Source organism: Homo sapiens, chromosome 10 (genome assembly GCF_000001405.40).
Source record: "Homo sapiens chromosome 10, GRCh38.p14 Primary Assembly".
NCBI lineage: Eukaryota > Metazoa > Chordata > Mammalia > Primates > Hominidae > Homo > Homo sapiens.
Window position 1 is genome coordinate 25,461,230 of NC_000010.11, and position 18,964 is coordinate 25,480,193.

General features: G+C 38.2%; 1 protein-coding gene across 3 annotated transcripts in view; it reads left to right on the forward strand.

Annotated features, from left to right (window-relative positions):
- The window catches only part of GPR158 (G protein-coupled receptor 158), a 427,229-nt gene that overhangs the window by 286,229 nt on the left and 122,036 nt on the right, over positions 1–18,964 (forward strand). For 2 of the 3 annotated variants that reach the window (XR_930512.4, NM_020752.3), the window contains exon 5: positions 5,422–5,490. Coding sequence is in view for 1 of the 3 variants with exons in the window: in NM_020752.3 (NP_065803.2) it covers positions 5,422–5,490 (69 nt within the window). In the remaining 2 variants the exon portion in view is untranslated. Of the gene's footprint in view, positions 1–4,955; positions 5,130–5,421; positions 5,491–18,964 lie in introns of those variants that run through there. The other variant, XM_017016452.3, reaches the window with a different exon arrangement.

Sequence of the window (18,964 nt, forward strand, 5' to 3'; positions counted from 1 at the left end):
AGTGGAGGCTGGGATAGGCTGAAAACTAGGCCTCTTGCACTAACTAGCCGATTTGTAAATGCAAAGGAAAAATTGATGGGAATTAAAAATGCTACTCCAGTGAACACATGTATGATAAGAAAGCAAAACAGGCTTATTGCTGATATGGAGAAAGTTTGAGTACTCTAGATAGAAGATTAAACCAGTCACAACACTGCCTTAAGCCAAAGCCTAATCCAAAGCAAGGGCCTAACTCTCTTCAATTCTGTGAAGGCTGAGAGAGTTGAGGAAACTACAGAAGAAAAGTTAGAAGCTAGCAGTGGTTGGTTCGTGAGGTACAAGGAAAGCAGCCATCTCTATAACATAAAAGTGTAAAGTGAAGCAGCAAGTGCTGATGGAGAAGCTGCAGCACGTCACTCAGAAGATCTAGCTAAGATCATCAATGAAGGTAGCTACATGAAACAACAGATTTTCAATATTGATGAAATAGCCCTCTACTGGAAGAAGATGCCATCTAGGACTTTCTTTTTTTTTTTTTTTTTGAGATGGAGTCTTGCTCTGTTGCCCAGGCTGGAGTGCAGTGGTGTGATCTTGGCTCTTGCAACCTCCATCTCCCGGGTTCACGCCATTCTCCTGCCTCAGCCTCCCGAGTAGCTAGGACTACAGGTGCCTGCCACCACGCCCGGCTGATTTTTTTGTATGTGTGTATTTTTAATAGAGACGGGGTTTCACCATGTTAGCCAGGATGGTCTCGATCTCCTGACCTTGTGATCCACCCACGTTGGCCTCCCAACGTGCTGGGATTACAGACATGAGCCACCACGCCAGGCCAGGACTTTCATAGCTAGCGAGGAGAAGTCAATGCCTGGCTTCAAAACTTCAAAGGAAAGATTGACCTTTTTGTTAGGGGCAAATGCAACTAGTGACTTTAAGTTAAAGCCAATGCTCATTGACTGTTCTGAAAATCCTGCGGGCCTTAAGAATCATGCTAAACCAACTCTGCCTGTGCTGTAGAAATGTAACAACAAAGCTTGGATGTGATAGCACATCTATTTATAGCATGATTTACTGGATATTTTAAGCCCACTGATGAGACTTCTCAGAAAAAGATTCCTTTCAAAATATTACTGCTCATTGACAATGCACATAGTCACCCAAGAGGTCTGATGGAGATATGCAAGGAGATTAATGTTGTTTTCATGCCCACTAACACAGCATTCATTCTGCTGCCCATGGATTAAGGAGTTAGACTTTCACATCTTCTTATTTAAGAAACACATTTTGTAAGGCGATCGTTGCCATAGTGATTCTTCTGATAGATCTGGGCAAAGTAAACTGAAAACCTCTGGAAAGGATTCACCATTCTAGATGCCATTGAGAACATTTATGATTCATGGGAGATCAAAATATCAACATTAACAAGAGTTTGGAAAACATTGATTCTAACCCTCATGGATGACTTTGAGGCGTTCAAGACTTCAGTGAAGAAACTAACTGCAGATATGGTGAAAATAGCAAGAGAATTAGAATTAGCAGTGTAGCCTGAACATGTGTCTGAGTTACCATAATCTCATGATAAAACTTGAATGAATGAGGAGTTGCTTCTTATGGATGAGCAAACAAGTAGTTTTTTCAGACGGAATCCACTCCTGGTGAAGATGCTATGGACATTGTTGAAATGACAACAAAGGATTTAGAATATTACATTATTATAGTTAAGAGGATTGACTCCAATTTTGAAAGAACTTCAACTGTAGGTAACATGCTATCAAACAGCATCACATGCTACAAAGAAATCTCTCATGAAAGGAAGAGTCGACTGGTACAGCAAACTTCATTGTTTTCTTATTTTAAGAAATTGCCACAACCATCTGAAGCTTCAGTAGCCACCACCCTTATCAGTCAGCAGCCATCAACATGGAGGCAAGACCCTCCACCAGCAAAAAGATTAGAACTTGATGAAGCCTCAGATGATTATTAGCATTTTTTAGCCATAAAGTATTTTTTTCCTTAAGGCAAGTACATTATTTTTTAGACATAATGCTATTGCATTCTTAATAGCCTATAGTGTAAATTTAACTTTTATATGCACTGGGAAACCACAAAATTTGTGTGATTCACTTTATTTTGATACTTGATTTATTGCTGTGGTCTGAAACCAAACCCAAAATATTTCTGAGGTTTGTCTGGATGGATGGATGGATGGATGGATGGATGGATGGATGGATGGACAGATATATAGATGAGGTATGCCTGGATACATAGAGAAAATGTGTAGTGTTGTTTTATGTATATGTGTTTTGTATAAATAGTGTCATACTGCGTATTACTGATCATCTTTCAATTAAGATTTTTTATAAGTTTCCCAGTTAACAACTCTGGTTATAGTTTCATATCACCATTTCTTTCTATCTCAGGCATAACTAGGAAGGAGATGACTTTTTTTCTTGGTCTCTGTTATTTTGCTCATTGTCTCTCTCATCCATCTTCAATTTTCAACCACCGCCCCCACCCCCATACACACTTAGTGTCTTTTCTGTCCTTCCTCACCCTACCAGTGAGACTCTAAACAAGATTCCTATATTTTGCTTTGAACTTGTCAATGTATTACTTACAAAATTGTATATTAATCCTTGGTACCAAGCATAAAATAAAAGGCTCTGTGCCAGTTAAAAGATTTTCTAGTACCAATAAGACAGTGGAGGAAATATGTTGGGGAGCATGGATCTCTTCTCTGTCCTAAAATCTCACCTATTAGGTTCCTTCTCATTCTGTGAGGCCACAAAGGCAGCTCTTCCAAATAATATTTTGAAAGAAAAAAAGTGCGCATTTTGAACAGGACTTACATTTTATTATGGAACCACTTGTCAGAGTTCCAATTTATAATCTGAAATTATGGGCTCCTCTGCTTAGCCAGGAGCAAGGCAGTGAACTCCTAAGAAGATTATTCAACAATTACAAATGAAAAGGAGACAGATTATCTGCTCTGAGAATATATAAAAGCACGTACTCCTGCTACTGTTATGTGGTGGTGATGGTTGTGACACTGCTACTGAGCCTACTGGACATAAAATCTTAGAAGATATTGCAGGATGGAAGAGGCCATCAAACCACAGCATGACCACAGCCCTGGGAAGGTCCCCCACTCGAGGCATTCATCTCCTCTTGGGTCATTTTGGATCCCAAGCATTAAACAAAATTTGACTGTTAGCGATATATTCTTTCTAGTTTTCAAATTCATCATCCTGGTGCTGTTCTCTACCTTGAAGAATACGTATCTACTTATTAAGCACCAGGTACAATGCCAGCCATTTTGCATACTTCATATTTAATAAATCTGTCAGATTTAATAAGGTAAAGATTAAAATACCCGTTTTATGGGTGAGACCATTGAAGTTCCAGGTGGCCCAACACAAAGTGGTTATTTCATAATTCAAATTGAGATGGAGTTAACTCCAAAGTCTGTCTTCTTCATCGTACCTTGCAGCAGCTTTTCATGTCCTCTTGTTCAGCCAACCAATAGCATACAAATTATTTTACAGACAGTCATGTATAATATTTTGGATTTTCATTTTTTGTGTCTTTTTTGGAATGTTTAAAAAATAAGCTTCATAATTAGGCATACTATGCAAATGTACCTTGCCACTTTGGAAATTCTGCCAGCCAAAACCCATTTAAATGCTTGCTGATAGAAATTTTCTTTTCACCAAAAGCGTCTTCTATCTAACATAATGACCAATAGCAAGAAGCCACTCAAATAATCAAGGCTGTTCACTGACTAAACTTGTTTCTCTATTCCCAAATTCTTAAATTAATGCAAGCCCTGAGTTTTTTTTTGAGGGTTACACAAAGTATTTCTATATCTTTAACAATACCCCACAGGGATTTTTGGAAGGGGAATTAGAATTTTTTCTCCCTGGCTATCCAGTTGTCTGATAGTGCTTTTATATAATGCAGTATTGTGGTTTGGCCTTTCAGAATTTTTTTATTGTTACAAAATTAATTGTTACTACTGCAAATTATTTTCCTGTTAAGATATTTACACCACGTGTAATTTCTGTATACATTTTGTATTATATTTAGTGAAAACACAGCATGCCTAAAATGACCTGTTTTTGTGTTTGCAGTATTAATTGATATATTTGCTCTATATTGATACTTGAATTCATTAAAGCAAAATTTATTGTAGAAAATAAGATTGATTTTACTGGTCTTTTATTTCTTGCTTCAATTCTAAGAATTTTGCTTGGAGAAGATAATGCTATTTTAAGTCTAACAAAATATCTTAAGGTTATTAGATATATTCATGCTTAGCAAACTATTCAGAAATTTATTTGAAAATCAAATCAACTAATTCTTTTGAATTTTGAGTAAAGAATAACATGTATGCATGTTCACAAGGTGAGATACCCTTGTTATTTAATGTGATTTATATTGTGCACATAGCGAAGCTGTGTTTGTGAGTTTTAGGGGTTATATTTTAGCATGGTGGGAGATACGCAGACTTCAAGACCTTGTGCATGTGCTTTTTTTACCCACCAACACTATCCCACAGGTATTTGTGAAATAGTTTAGGAATGGCATTCAGTATGCACTGGTGGCTCATATTTTAGAAATACAGGCAAGATCTCGTTTGTAAATTTCGTGGATTGAAAGTGAGGGACTAAGTGGCTAAGTTGGCTGTTCTTCCTGGGTCAATAGGGACTTCCTTAAAGGGACTTTCCCCTAAGCCAAAATAGCTGCAAGCTGAGGGCTTGAAACTTCAACCAATCAAAGGGGAGTTTAAGCTCTAGCTGCAGCCTGATGTTTTTAACCCATCAGGCCCACCAACTCACAGGCGGATAGAAAATAAGCTAATTCTACAGGACAGAAAAAGGAAAAGGGGAGGGGTCATAAGGGGATATAAGCATAAGACACCCAAGCCGGAAACAGCAACCCTTCCGGGTCCCTTTTCGCCGTGCGGAAGCTTCACTTTCACTTTCATTTTAATAAATCTTGCCACCGCACACTCTTTGGGTCTGTGTATTTGTCTAATCAAGCTGTAACCCTCGCCGCTGTGGTCCACGGTTTCATTCCCTGAAGCCCGTGAGACCACGAACCCTTCGATCGAGAAAAGACCTTCAATCGGGAGAAGACTTCTCGTCTCAAAAGTATCTTCAAGATAGTGTTCTTAGCTGCTCAGGCTTTTTAATGATACAAATTTTAGAGAACAAAATCTCATGCAGCCACTGGCGATATTATTAAGCCTATCAACACCTTTATAATCAGTCTTTTTGCATGTTCTAGTTTTTTACCCACCTGAATACTAACCAATTTTCATTAATTTATTTAATTTCCCCCAAAGAATGCTGTCCTACTGCATTGTGGCATTTTCACAATAGCGTGAATTCTCCAGGCTTAGAAATGTAAGTTAGTAATGACGTTTTTATTTTGTTTTTTCAGAGCATCCGGGCATCGGGCCTTATCCTGTTGGAAACGATCCTTTTTGGATCTCTGCTCCTATACTTTCCAGTAAGTAACAGAATTTTGTTTTTAAAGTAGAAATTTATTTTATGTTGCATACTATAAAGTTACTGTTTACACACACACACACACACATACACACACCCTGGTGTTACTAGGAAGTGTGGAGGTTTTGGCTCTTGTCTTACTTGAAAGAAAGACTTTGGCCAAGAGACAATTAGTAAAGTAAGCAAAGGTTTATTGAAGGAAGTTGTTGATTAAAAGAGTCAAACTCTAAAATATTTGAAGAGATTTAATCTGAGCCAAATATGAGTGACCATGGCCCCTGACACAGCCCTCAGGAGGTCCTGAGAGCATGTGCCCAGGGTGGTTGGGGTGCAGCGTGGTTTTATACATTTTAGGGAGGCATGAGACTTCAATCAGATTCGAGCAATACGTTGGTTTGGTCCAGAAAGGCAGGACAATTTGAAGTGTGGGGGACTTCCAGACTATAGGTAAATTTAAACATTTTCTGGTTGACAATTGGTTGAATCTGTCTAAAGACCTGGGATCAATAGAAAGGAAATGTTCAAGTTAAGATAAAAGACTGTGGAGACCAAGGTTCTTTTGAAGTCTCATAGTGGCTGCCCTTAGAGACAATAGATGACAGATGTCTCCTATTCGGACTATTAAAAGGTGCTAGCCACTCAGTATCTTCAGGATTGGGAGGGCCTGGAAGAAAAACATCTAGCTATGTTAATAGAGACTCTTACAGATGAAAATTTGCCCCCACAAAGGACGACTTTGCAGGACCATTTCAAAATATGGCACAGAAACATGTTCTAGGGTAAAAATATTATGATTTTCTTCTTTGTCACATACTGTTACGCCAGAGTCAGATTGGAAAGTAACTCATGAGATAGAGGGTTAAATAAAACCTATCTAATGAGAATTTATGGTTTGTAGGGCATGACTCCCCAGACCCCTTAGATAGGAATTTGGGCAAGATAAAAATCGGAGCTTGGTCCTCAAAGTACACGTCAAGAGAAGAGTGGGCTGGTCTGGGTGGAAAGTAGTAGCAGAGAACAGTACACTTGGAAAGATGGGGCAAAGCGGGCTGCTTGAAAGAGGATGAGCCAGCAGCTCTAACAGTTCTGCATTGCTGATTTTATTATGTCAGACCCTTTAAGTTCCTGTCTGTGTCTCAAGTCTCTGCCTTTGTCTCTGACTAGTTTCCCGCTTCTGCCTCAAGTCCCCACCCAGTTCCCGCCCCAGGTTTGTAGAATTCTCCCTTGCTGTCTGTTGATGTACATGTGCTGCCTAGCATTAGATATGAATTCTGCCTAATGGCAGCATTGCTCCGTACCACCATCCCAGGAAGGTCGTATCGTGGTTAAATCTGTACTTATTGCACCTGCGTATCTCTTAGGAATTTCTCCTTTGCCCTCTTTCCCTCTTCTCAGCATGTAGCTAGCTACATTCTGACAGGTTAACTGCAGAATGAGTGATCATTGGGCATCTTAAGGAGTGTTTGGGGGCGTTCCTTTCTGCATAGGTATTTCCCCTCTCTCTGCTCATATCTATCATGCAACTTCTGGGGTGCGAAATTTTTTGGACTTCCCTTTTTCAGGGGCTCCCCACTCCTGCTCATGTCTGGCTATCTGCCTACTCTAACGCAAATTCTTTACAGGTATTTAAATCCTGGTTTTTACCATTTGAATGACCTTAGACAAGTTACCTAACATTCCTAAACCTTGTTTTTTCTTATAAAATGGAGCTAATTATACTTTTCTTCCCAAATTTGTGAGGAAGGTTAAATGCTTAAGTGTGACTGCATATGAAAGGCAAAGTTGGTATGTATGCGTAATATATACAAGTAAGTATCGCTTTCCTTCTTCCTTCTCCTCTACCTGAATCAGAACCATGAGACACACCAATTAATGTTGGAAAAATTGAAATTGTTACATAGTAAAATAAGCATGATGAAATAAATGTATGTATGGTGCTAGTGGCTTAGGTAATCATAGTGGACGCTAGCATACCAGTAACATGTCTGAAACCAGAAGATAAGTACTGACTTTACAAGTTCAACTCAGCCAACTTACGTTCAGTGGTTATTGTGTGCCAAGCACTGTGCTAATTTCTGGGAATACTCTATCAGCAAGACAAACTTGATTTCTCCTTTCAAGAAGCTTACAGTGTAGAGGAAGAGATGAGTTAATGCAAACAATGATAATACAATGTGACAAACACTAAGAAAGCAGTAAAGACAGGATGCTGTGGAGGCACTTAGGAGAGATACCTAATCAAGTTTAGGGAATAAAATATCCCTTGGCAGAGACCTGAAAGGTGAGTAGGTGTAAGAGAAGGAAAGGTACGGCTGCCGGGACATCAGATTCTTTTTGGTTTTTGTCTTACTTCACTCCCTGCTCCATCTCAGCCTGCTTTGTTGATTCTTCATTTTAACTCCCACTTCTTCATACTTGAATGCCTCAGGACTGAGTTCTTGTAGCTTTTCTTAATGTACACTCTCTCTTGGTGATCTCATCTAGCCTCAAAGTTTAAGTACTATTTATATGCCAATGACTGCTGAATTTATATCTCCAGCCCAAACCTTTCTCCTGAGCTCCCAACTCATATTCAGCTGCTTAGGCAACCACTCCATTTGCATGTCCAGCAAAATTCCCTATCATATTTTCAACAGAGGCACTGATCTCTCCCTCAGATTCAGCCTTCCAGTGTCCACTGATGGCAGCTCTATCCTTCTAGTTACTCAGGCCAAAAGCCTAGGACTCATTATTGATACCACTCTTTCTCTCATATTAGAAAACCTTTTAAAATACAGCAAGAATCGGCCGGGCCTGGTGGCTCACACCTGTAATCCCAGCACTTTGGGAGGCCAAGTGGGTGGATCATGAGGTCAGGAGATCGAGACCATCCTGTCTAACACGGTGAAACCCCATCTCTACTGAAAATACAAAAAATTAGCCAGGCGCAGTGGCAGGCACCTGTAGTCCCAGCTACTTGGGAGGCTGAGGTAGGAGAATGGTGTGAACCTGGGAGGTGGAGGTTGCAGTGAGCCGAGATTGTGCCACTGCATTCCAGCCTGGGCAACAGAGCGAGACTCCATCTCAAAAAAAAAAAAAAAAAAAAAAAAAAGATGCAGCAAGAATCTAATGAGCCCCCCCCAACATTCACTGCTACCACCTGGTCTAAACTGTGATCCACCCCTCCTGGATTGTTGCCATGTTCTCTTACTAGCCTTTCTTCTTCCATGCTAGCCGCCTAGAATCTATTTTGAAAATGTCAGCCAGTTTTAACATGAAAATTAGACTGACTATGTCACTCCTCTTCCCAAAACTCCCCAAAGATTCCCCAATTTACTTAGAGTAAAAGCCAACATCCTTCCTGTGGCCACTAAGGCTTAATGTAATTTGGACACTGCCCCTGTATAACATCATTTTCTAATCCTTTTCCTGCACTCAATATGTAGATCGAGTGTTCTTTATTCAGGTCTCGAATTAATTTTTCTATTTATTCTTAAAATAGAGATATATTTACATATAATCAGTGCTGTGATCTGACCATGTACTCCAAAATGTATGTGTTAGAAACTTAATCTCCAATGCAATGTTGTTGAGAAGTGGGGTATTTTCGGAGGTGTTTAGAGCCCTCATGTATGGGTGAATGCCCTTAACATGTAAAAGAGCTCGGTGGAGGGAGTTTGGCCCTTTTTGTTCTTCTCCCTTCCACCCAGCAAGAAGGCCTTCACCAGAAACCGGATGCTGACACTTTGATCTTGCATTTTTCAGCCTCCAACACTGTGAGAAATAAATTTGTATTCTTTGTAAATTACCCAGTCTCAGGTATTTTGTTGTTATAGCAGCACAAACAGACTAAGACAATCAGTATTAATTTTTTCATAAAGTCATCCATATTAAGTTTTCTAATTTTCTAGCATAGAGTTATGCATAATAATTAGTAACAGAAGCAATGCAGCAGTATAAAGACTGAGTGTTTATTGTTGGTACACTTCCTGTATAAATGGAGTGTCATGCATCTTAACATTTAATCTTTCCCACAGAACCCTAGGGCAGATATTTAACCAAAGTCATCAGATCACCTAATAAAGAATGAAATATCTGAAATGACCTCAGTAACCTGATGAAAATTTTTAATTATCTGAATATCTGTTGCTACTATAATCTTTTTTTTGAACCTCTGCTATTTTAAAATCAATTTTCCACCCAGTAGCCAGAGGGATTTAAAAATGTCAAATCTAGGCTGTCACCTCTTTGATGTCTTCTTTTTTTTAATTATTATTATACTTTAAGTTCTAGGGTACATATGCACAATGTGCAGGATTGTTACATATGTATACATGTGCCATGTTGGTGTGCTGCACCCATTAACTTGTCATTTATATTAGGTATATCTCCTAATGCTATCCCTTGCCCCTCCCCCCACCCCATGACAGGCCCCGGTGTGTGATGTTCCCTCCCCTGTGTCCAACTGTTCTCATTGTTCAATTCCCACCTGTGAGTGAGAACATGTGGTGTTTGGTTTTTTGTCCTTGTGATAGTTTGCTGAGAATGATGGTTTCCAGCTTCATCCATGCCCCTGTGAAGGACATGAACTCATCCTTTTTTATGGCTGCATAGTATTCCATGGTGTATATGTGCCACATTTTCTTAATCCCAGTCTATCATTGATAGATATTTGGGTCGGTTCCAAGTCTTTGCTATTGTGAATAGTGCCACAATAAATATACGTGTGCATGTGTCTTTATAGCTGCATGATTTATATTCCTTTGGGTATATACCCAGTAATATGGGATTGCTGGGTCAAATGGTATTTCTAGTTCTAGATCCTTGAGGAATCGCCACACTGTCTTCCACAATGGTTGAACTAGTTTACAGTCCCACCAATAGTATAAAAGTGTTCCTATTTCTCCATATCCTTTCCAGCACCTGTTGTTTCCTGACTTTTTAATGATCACCATTCTAACTGGTGTGAGATGGTATCTCATTGTGGTTTTGATTTGCATTTCTCTGATGGCCAGTGATGGTGAGCATTTTTTCATGTGTCTGTTGGCTGCATAAATATCTTCTTTTGAGAAGTGTCTGTTCATATCCTTCGCCCACTTTTTGATGGGGTTGTTTGTTTTTTTCTTGTACATTTGTTCGTATTCTTTGTAGATTCTGGATATTAGCCCTTTGTCAGATGAGTAGGTTGCGAAAATTTTCTCCCATTTTGTAGGTTGCCTGTTCACTCTGATGGTAGTTTCTTTTGCTGTGCAGAAGCCCTTTAGTTTAATTAGATCCCATTTGTCAATTTTGGCTTTTGTTGCCATTGCTTTTGGTGTTGTAGACATGAAGTCCTTGCCCATGCCTATGTCCTGAATGGTATTGCCTAGGTTTTCTTCTAGGGTTTTTATGGTTTTAGGTCTAACATTTAAGTCTTTAATCCATTTTGAATTAATTTTTGTATAAGGTGTAAGGAAGGGATCCAGTTTCAGCTTTCTACATATGGCTAGCCAGTTTTCCCAGCACCATTTATTAAATAGGGAATCCTTTCCCCATTTCTTGTTTTTGTCAGGTTTGTCAAAGATCAGATGGTTGTAGATGTGTGGTATTATTTCTGAGGGCTCTGTTCTGTTCCATTGGTCTATATCTCTGTTTTGGTACCAGTACCATGCTGTTTTGGTTACTGTAGCCTTGTAGTATAGTTTGAAGTCAGGTAGTGTGATGCCTCCAGCTTTGTTCTTTCAGCTTAGGATGGACTTGGCAATGTGGGCTCTTTTTTGGTTCCATATGAACTTTAAAATAGTTTTTTCCATTTCTGTGAAGAAAGTCATTGGTAGCTGGATGGGGATGGCATTGAATCTATAATTTGCCTTGGGCAGTATGGCCATTTTCACGATATTGACTCTTCCTACCCATGAGCATGGAATGTTCTTCCATTTGTTTGTGTCCTCTTTTATTTCCTTGAGCAGCGGTTTGTAGTTCTCCTTGAAGAGGTCCTTCACATCCCTTGTAAGTTGGATTCCTAGGTATTTTATTCTATTTGAAGCATTGTGAATGGGAGTTCACTCATGATTTGGCTGTTTGTTATTGGTGTACAAGAATGCTTGTGATTTTTGCACATTGATTTTGTATCCTGAGACTTTGCTGAAGTTGCTTATCAGCTTACGGAGATTTTGGGCTGAGACACTGGAGTTTTCTAAATATACAATCATGTCATCTGGAAACAGGGACAATTTGACTTCCTCTTTTCCTAATTGAATACCCTTTATTTCCTTCTCCTGCCTGATTGCCCTGGCCAGAACTTCCAACACTATGTTGAATAGGAGTGGTGAGAGAGGGCATCCCTGTCTTGTGCCAATTTTCAAAGGGAATGCTTCCAGTTTTTGCCCATTCAGTATGACATTGGCTGTGGGTTTGTCATAGATAGCTCTTATTATTTTGAGATACGTCCCATCAATACCTAATTTATTGAGAGTTTTTAGCATGAACGGTTGTTGAATTTTGTCAAAGGCCTTTTCTGCATCTATTGAGATAATCATGTGGTTTTTGTCTTTAGTTCTGTTTATATGCTGGATTACATTTATTGATTTGCGTATATTGAACCAGCCTTGCATCCCAGGGATGAAGCCCACTTGATCATGGTGGATAAGCTTTTTGATGTGCTGCTGGATTCGGTTCGCCAGTATTTTATTGAGGATTTTTGCATTGATGTTCATCAGGGATATTGGTCTAAAATTCTCTTTTTTTGTTGTGTCTCTGCCCAGCTTTGGTATCAGGATGATGCTGGCCTCATAAAATGAGTTAGGGAGGATTCCCTCTTTTTCTGTTGATTGGAATAGTGTCAGAAGGAATGGTCCCAGCTCCTCCTTGTACCTCTGGTAGAATTCGGCTGTGAATCCATCTGGTGCTGGACTTTTTTTGGTTGGTAGGCTATTAATATTGCCTCAATTTCAGAGCCTGTTATTAGTCTATTCTGGGATTCAACTTCTTTCTGGTTTAGTCTCAGTAGAGTGTATGTGTCGAGGAATTTATCCATTTCTTCTAGGTTTTCTAGTTTATTTGCATAGAGGTGTTTATAGTCTTTGCCCATCTCCCCAGCCTCATCTTATATTACCTTTCTTCTCACTTTCTACTCTCCAACCACCCTGACCTTATTTCAGTTCTCAGATAAAACATGATCTCTTTCATGATAGACATAATAATGGTCTCCAACAATGTCCACAATCCTAATCTCTGGAACCTGTTTGAATATGTTACCTTACATGGAAAAATGGACTTTGCTGATATGATTATGTTAAAAACTTTGAGATGGGGAGATTATCCTGGATTATCTGGGTGTGACCATGGATCCTAAGTGAAAAGAGGGAAGCAGAAGAGAGACAACCAAATAGATGGCATGATGAAAAAGATTGGCTGGCATTGCCAACTTTGAAGATAAATGAGGGAGGTTGCAAGCCCAAGAATGCAGGCAGCCTCTAGAGGCTGGAAAAGTCTAGTAAATAAGTTCTTCCCTTGACCCTCTACAAGGAAGGCAGCTCTGCAACACCTTGATTTTAGTTCCTTAAGACTCATTTTGGGCATAGGATCTCCGGAACTGTAAAATAATAAGTCAATGTTGTTTAAAGCCACTAAGTTTACGACACTATTTATAGTGGCTATAGGAAACTAAGATACCCCTTGTGATAGGACCTCTTCACCTACATTATTTTGGTTTTGAAGATTCTTCCTCTTTTCCTTTTCCTCACCCCTACCCTACCATCCTTTAGGCTAATTAGCATATAGTCATCTTCTAGATTTCTAGATAAGTATCAGTTTTTTAGAAATGCTTTCCTCGACCCCTAATCTGAGTCAGATTCCTTGCAATAACTTCTCATGGAATCCTGCTCTTTCTTGACAACACTTGTTTCAATTTGTAATTACGCATTCAAAAGTCTGATTATTTGATAATGTCATTCTCTTGCACAGATATTAAATTCTGTGAGAGTAGGGCATGTTTCTGTCTTGCTCGGCACTGCATCTGCAGCAATTAGCCCAGTGCCTGTCACCGTAGTAGAAGCACAGTAAATAGGCACGGAATGAGTGAACAAGTTATACTTAGATGAACTTAGAAATGTACCCTAAACTAGTGCCTACTGTCCTGTTGAAGCACCCTCCAAAGACTCTGCTTGATTGTGGAAGACTAAGAATGAGGGCCCTTATTTATATTTATTTAGCATCTGCAGTTAGGCAATAAAAACACTTTCTCATGTTATTTTTGGGACTTAGCAGAAGTTCAGTTCATTTTGACTTCTAATATTCATACTTATTCAAAACAAATGGTTGTATTAATGAGCATAGTCCTATAATCTGTAGAAGAATTGTAAAGCTTCTGAAATAGAAGTACTCTAGAAAAGTATGACATTTGAAAGAATTGCAAGTGTCAGGTTACTAAATGTTAAAAGCAGTTACAAGGGAATCTTTCCTTGACTGAGATTCAATTTTAAAAGATATCTGATTGACCTGTACTTATGGTGATAACAGATACAGAGAACTGACGCATTAAAAGAAAAAGACTGTGTACTTCATGATAATTCTAATATGCTTGTAAGGAAAAAAACAAAAACGGAGGCTTACCAAAAAAATTCCACCCAACAGAAACATTAGGATACCTCATCCTATTGACTTCATGCTTAACTAGCTATTTTATCTTTCAGAACGTAAATTCTTTTTGTAATGGCTCGAGATAATAACTCTGTACCTTGGTTTTTAATTTAGGGCTTATGCTTTGAAGATAGAAAGGACCATGTTATTTAATAAAGATTTGGATGCAGCATAAAATACCAGGGGAAAAGGAGATTAAAGGCGAAGAATAACCTGGTTGTTGGACTGGACTCACTGGCTTCATTTGGTTTTATGGAAACAAGTTTATAAGTTTTGCCTAGAATTTTGCTATAAGGAAGACCTGTATTAAGTGATTAAGGTGACTTAGTATCCACATATAGCCAAAAAATCTAATAATTTGTTGGTATAAATGTGACTAATATCTTTCTTGTTTGTTAAATACCTTACCTACTTTCTGTGTTCCTGGTGTGGGCTATACTAGAATTGTTCATGAAAGTTCTACTGGGAGGTTACAATTTTTTTAAAAGCATACTTGAATAAAATAGAATTGTTTTTAGGGCTAGCTAACTCCATGGAAGTAGGCTTTGTGGATATTCACTGTTCTTCTGAGTTATGCAATGAGCCTTTTCTTCTTTATATGCTGCATATTGTTGTTCAGATTTGCAAGAATTAAGGTTATTTTTGCCTTTTCTAAGCAATCTTAGACTACAGACGATTTCATAACAATGCTTATATTGGAAAGTCCAAATTAGAGATTATCATCATTGTGCAGATGAGGACAAACCAAAATCTGACTAAATTTAGCATTGTTATATTGGGTAGCAGAGAGCTGAAGCATTCAAACGTTTTCTTACAGATTCTCAAAAGAGACGCATGATTTGAAGTCTGTACATTTGTGAACGAGTGATCACTATTCATAATCACCTAGCAACTTTGTATAATTTATAAAAGAAAGAAAAGAGAATTTTAAGAAAAAACTAAAGTGTATTTTTTTGCTAAATTACATTTAAAAAGACATTTTATGGATTAGTAAAGCACATTCTTTGTAATTTAAAATCTAGAAGTTTGTTCTGCCTTGACTAAACCGTCAGTTTCATTTAATAAGGGTTTTTTTTTTTTTTCTTTCCCCTCTAACCTTAGTTACTTTATTTGGTTGGTAGATATGTCTTCCTGTAAAGGACTCCAATGCATATGTAAGTAATACTTACGTTCAGGTTGTTCCTCCCTACCCCGGTCTTATAAGAAGAATTGCAAAAGTATTAGAACTAGAAGGGACACCATATACAACTCAGTCTTTCTCCAGCCTCTTTATTTTGTAAATGCAAGAAGAGAGGCTGAGAGCGATTATGATTCAGATTCATCCACCTTTTTTTTCAGCTGGATAATGAGAAAGCCAAGAATTAAATCCATTCTCTTATCTTCTGGTCTGCTGTTCTTTTCCTTGCATGGCAGTACTTCTCACAGAGGATATGAATGTGATACTCAAATGACATCAAACGGGAGGCTGGGAAGGCCCATGTTGTACCCCTTCACCAGTCATCCTTCTTCATTAGGAAACAAAAGGCACAGAGGATGACTGAAACCAGGAATCAATTCATAATGGCTCAGGGTTTGGTTCTAAGACTAAATGTGTAAGTTCCCGAGGAGCTTGGATGGACCATGTTATTGAGCCATCTGAAGTTTCTGATATTCAATCATCTTAACTATAAAAAAGGCAATTTTATGTTCCAACCTAACATCAGGTTGGTTTTAGTGGTGTAGAACCTATGTCAGTTAAGAGATTGTTTTCTTCAATGATCACCCCAAAACCTTAAACTAAAACTTAAGACTTTTTTTTAACTCCATTTTTTTGCGATGTAGAAAAAACCCATCCAGAGCATAGGTATTGCCCTGAAGCAGAAGAAAAACAAGAGAATTTGATCCCATGATTACAGCTTAAAGGAAGGGATATAAAGGAGGGAGTTGAAAGTGGAGAGGGAGAATGAGACAATGAGAATATAGCGAAAGCAGCCAAGTTTTAATCCATTACTATTATTGTTTATTTTCATTGCTAAAATTACTTTAGATTTGACAGCAAGAACCCCTTTAGGCTGGCTCCTGTATCCTTTTGATATGACCCCATCATTCTTTGAGCACTTTCCTATGTTCTAATGCAACAGAATGTTCCAAACTCATTTTATACTTCATTCCCTCAACCCTGCAATCTGCGTTTTCTCCAAAGAGCCCTGGTTCTTTTTAGGGCAGAATGGTAGCAGTTCACTTCTGTGACAGATTGACTTCCATGACAGACAACAGAAAGTTCCCCCAACTTTACAAGTAGACTATGATTTTTAAGCTGATCCGTAGAATCCATCTCACTTGGTGCCCTTTAGAGCCATTTGGATTGATACAAGAGAAAAAAAAACGAAATTGGAAATAAAGTTAAATACTTATGAACATAACATTACTATTGGGAACACAATAGTATGGGGATAGCCGTTTTATGTTAACATAGCTCAGAAGGTATGGGAATATTAGACTTTTAATCCCCAAACTGTTGGAGGATTTCAGAAATACTGGCTCATATAGAGAGCAAAAGACATCAGAGATCTGGACTTTTCAGGAAGCTTGAAGAATGGGATGCCAAGACACTTTTTTCTCTTCTATAGTGTAGGTTAGAGAAATAAAAGAAATAGCCATAGATGCCCAGAAGTTCTGTGTAGTTCCATTTATCCACTTGGCTTGTCTCCTCTTCTGTACTCAACCCATCAGAGAGAAGTCTGATCATTGGTGGGAGTGGCTGTCATCATGTAAAGGCATGGAAGCTGCCCAGTGTGCATATTCTAGGATGTATGGTTAAGAGCCTTACTCCAATCAGTGATGTATGAGGAACTAACCAATAATCTTCCTTTAGTTGAAAGAGTTTTAATAAACTTAGAGAGCCTTAAAAAATTGAGAGTTGGAATCTTGGCTTTAGTTTGTCAGTGAAAAGCAACAGGTTATCATCTTTGCTACAGTAAACACCTATTAGAAAATGCCTCTTGAAAATACCTTATTGCTTTAGTGAAATATAATAATCTCTCGTTATTTACAAAGTAGAACAAAATTAAAGAACACAATGAAAAAGGTAAAAGATCAAAGTCATTATCATCCAGAAATAGTCATTGTGTACATTTAATTATATGAGACAGATGTGTAGATACATATAGAAATAGAAATAGATGAAATATATAATGCGTGTGTGTGTGTGTGTGTGTGTGTGTGTGTGTGTAGAGAGAAGAGAAAGAAATGGATGGATGGTGGATTAAGCTATGAGATTTTATAAAAGATACTAACTGTGATCTTTATCAGTTTAACAAAACCCAGATATTACTAATTTTGTCACTTTTTAATTTTTTTTTATTATACTTTAAGTTCTAGGGTACATGTGCACAGTGTGCAGGTTTGTTACGTATATATACATGTGCCATGTTGGTGTGCTGCACCCATTAACTCGTCATTTACATTAGGTATATCTCCTAATGCTATCCCTCCTCCCTCCCCCCACCCCACGACAGGCCCCCGGTGTGTGATGTTCCCCTTCCTGTGTCCAAGTGTTCTCATTGTCCAGTTCCCACCTATGAGTGAGAACATGCAGTGTTTGGTTTTTTTGTCATTGCGATAGTTTGCTGAGAATGATGATTTCCAGCTTCATCCATGTCCCTACAAAGGACATGAATTCATCATTTTTTATGGCTGCATAGTTTTCCATGGTGTATATGTGCCACTTTTCTTAATCCAATCTATCATTGATGGACATTTGGGTTGGTTCCAAGTCTTTGCTATTGTGAGTAGTGCTGCAATAAACATACATGTGCATGTGTCTTTATAGCAGCATGATTTATAATCGATGATTTTTAGATTAATGTATTTTACGATAAGCATTATTGGTTCTAAAAGATCTTTCTAAAGTTAAAAAAAATTGTAATACATTTAAAAGATTGGGCTAATTATTTTTTATTTAGCTATATGTTTCAACTTTAGATAGTATCACTTGACTCCAGCTATGACAGCTAAGAAATTGAACTCAAATACAGTTCCTTTCATCCTTTCTTTGTATCTAGTGGCTGAATATTATTGGATCTTGAAGATAGCTTGATTTCTGTCTCCTGTAGGTGACCTGATACTTCTTTCCAGATGCCAGTAAAAGTCATTTTTTAGTCAGGCTGGAGTGCAGTGGTGCGATCTTGCTCACTGCAACCTGTGCCTCCCGGGTTCCAACAATTCTCCTGCCTCAGCCTCCCAAGTAGCTGGGATTACAGGCACCTGTCACCTCACCTGGCTAGTTTTTGTATTTTTAATAGAGATGAGGTTTCACCATGTTGGCCAGGCTGGTCTCGAACACCTGACCTCAATTGATCCACCCACCTTGGCCTCTCATAGTGCTGGGATTACAGGTATGAGCCACCACGCCCGGCCTGAATTTATTGTTCTTTATCATTTTATTTCAATTATGATATTCCCTTTCAATATATAGATTTAAGACCCCTTTTATTTCTAGATTTTAAAAAAATTATCTTTATTTTTTTCTGTTATATTTCTCCTCTTCTTCGTGATACATAAGTTATGGATACATCACATTTATATATCTTTGTCCTTTCCCATTTTATTTTGTGTGGTTTCCTCAAGTCTTTATTCTATGACCTTTACAGCAATTTCAGTTATGTTTATCCTGCATGAGTCAATTCTGATATTTCTGTGACCTCTCCAATGTTTTTGTTTTATTTTCATTTTTCTCCTCTACATCCCTGCTTTCTTGGAGCCATTTTATCTCTTTCTTTGTTTTTCTTATCTCTTCTTTACTCTCTAGTATCTTTTTCTTTGAGTTTATTTGTCAGAAGGAACATGTTTTGTATAATTTCTTTGAGGCCATGAGAATTACCTACTTGAATCTTTAT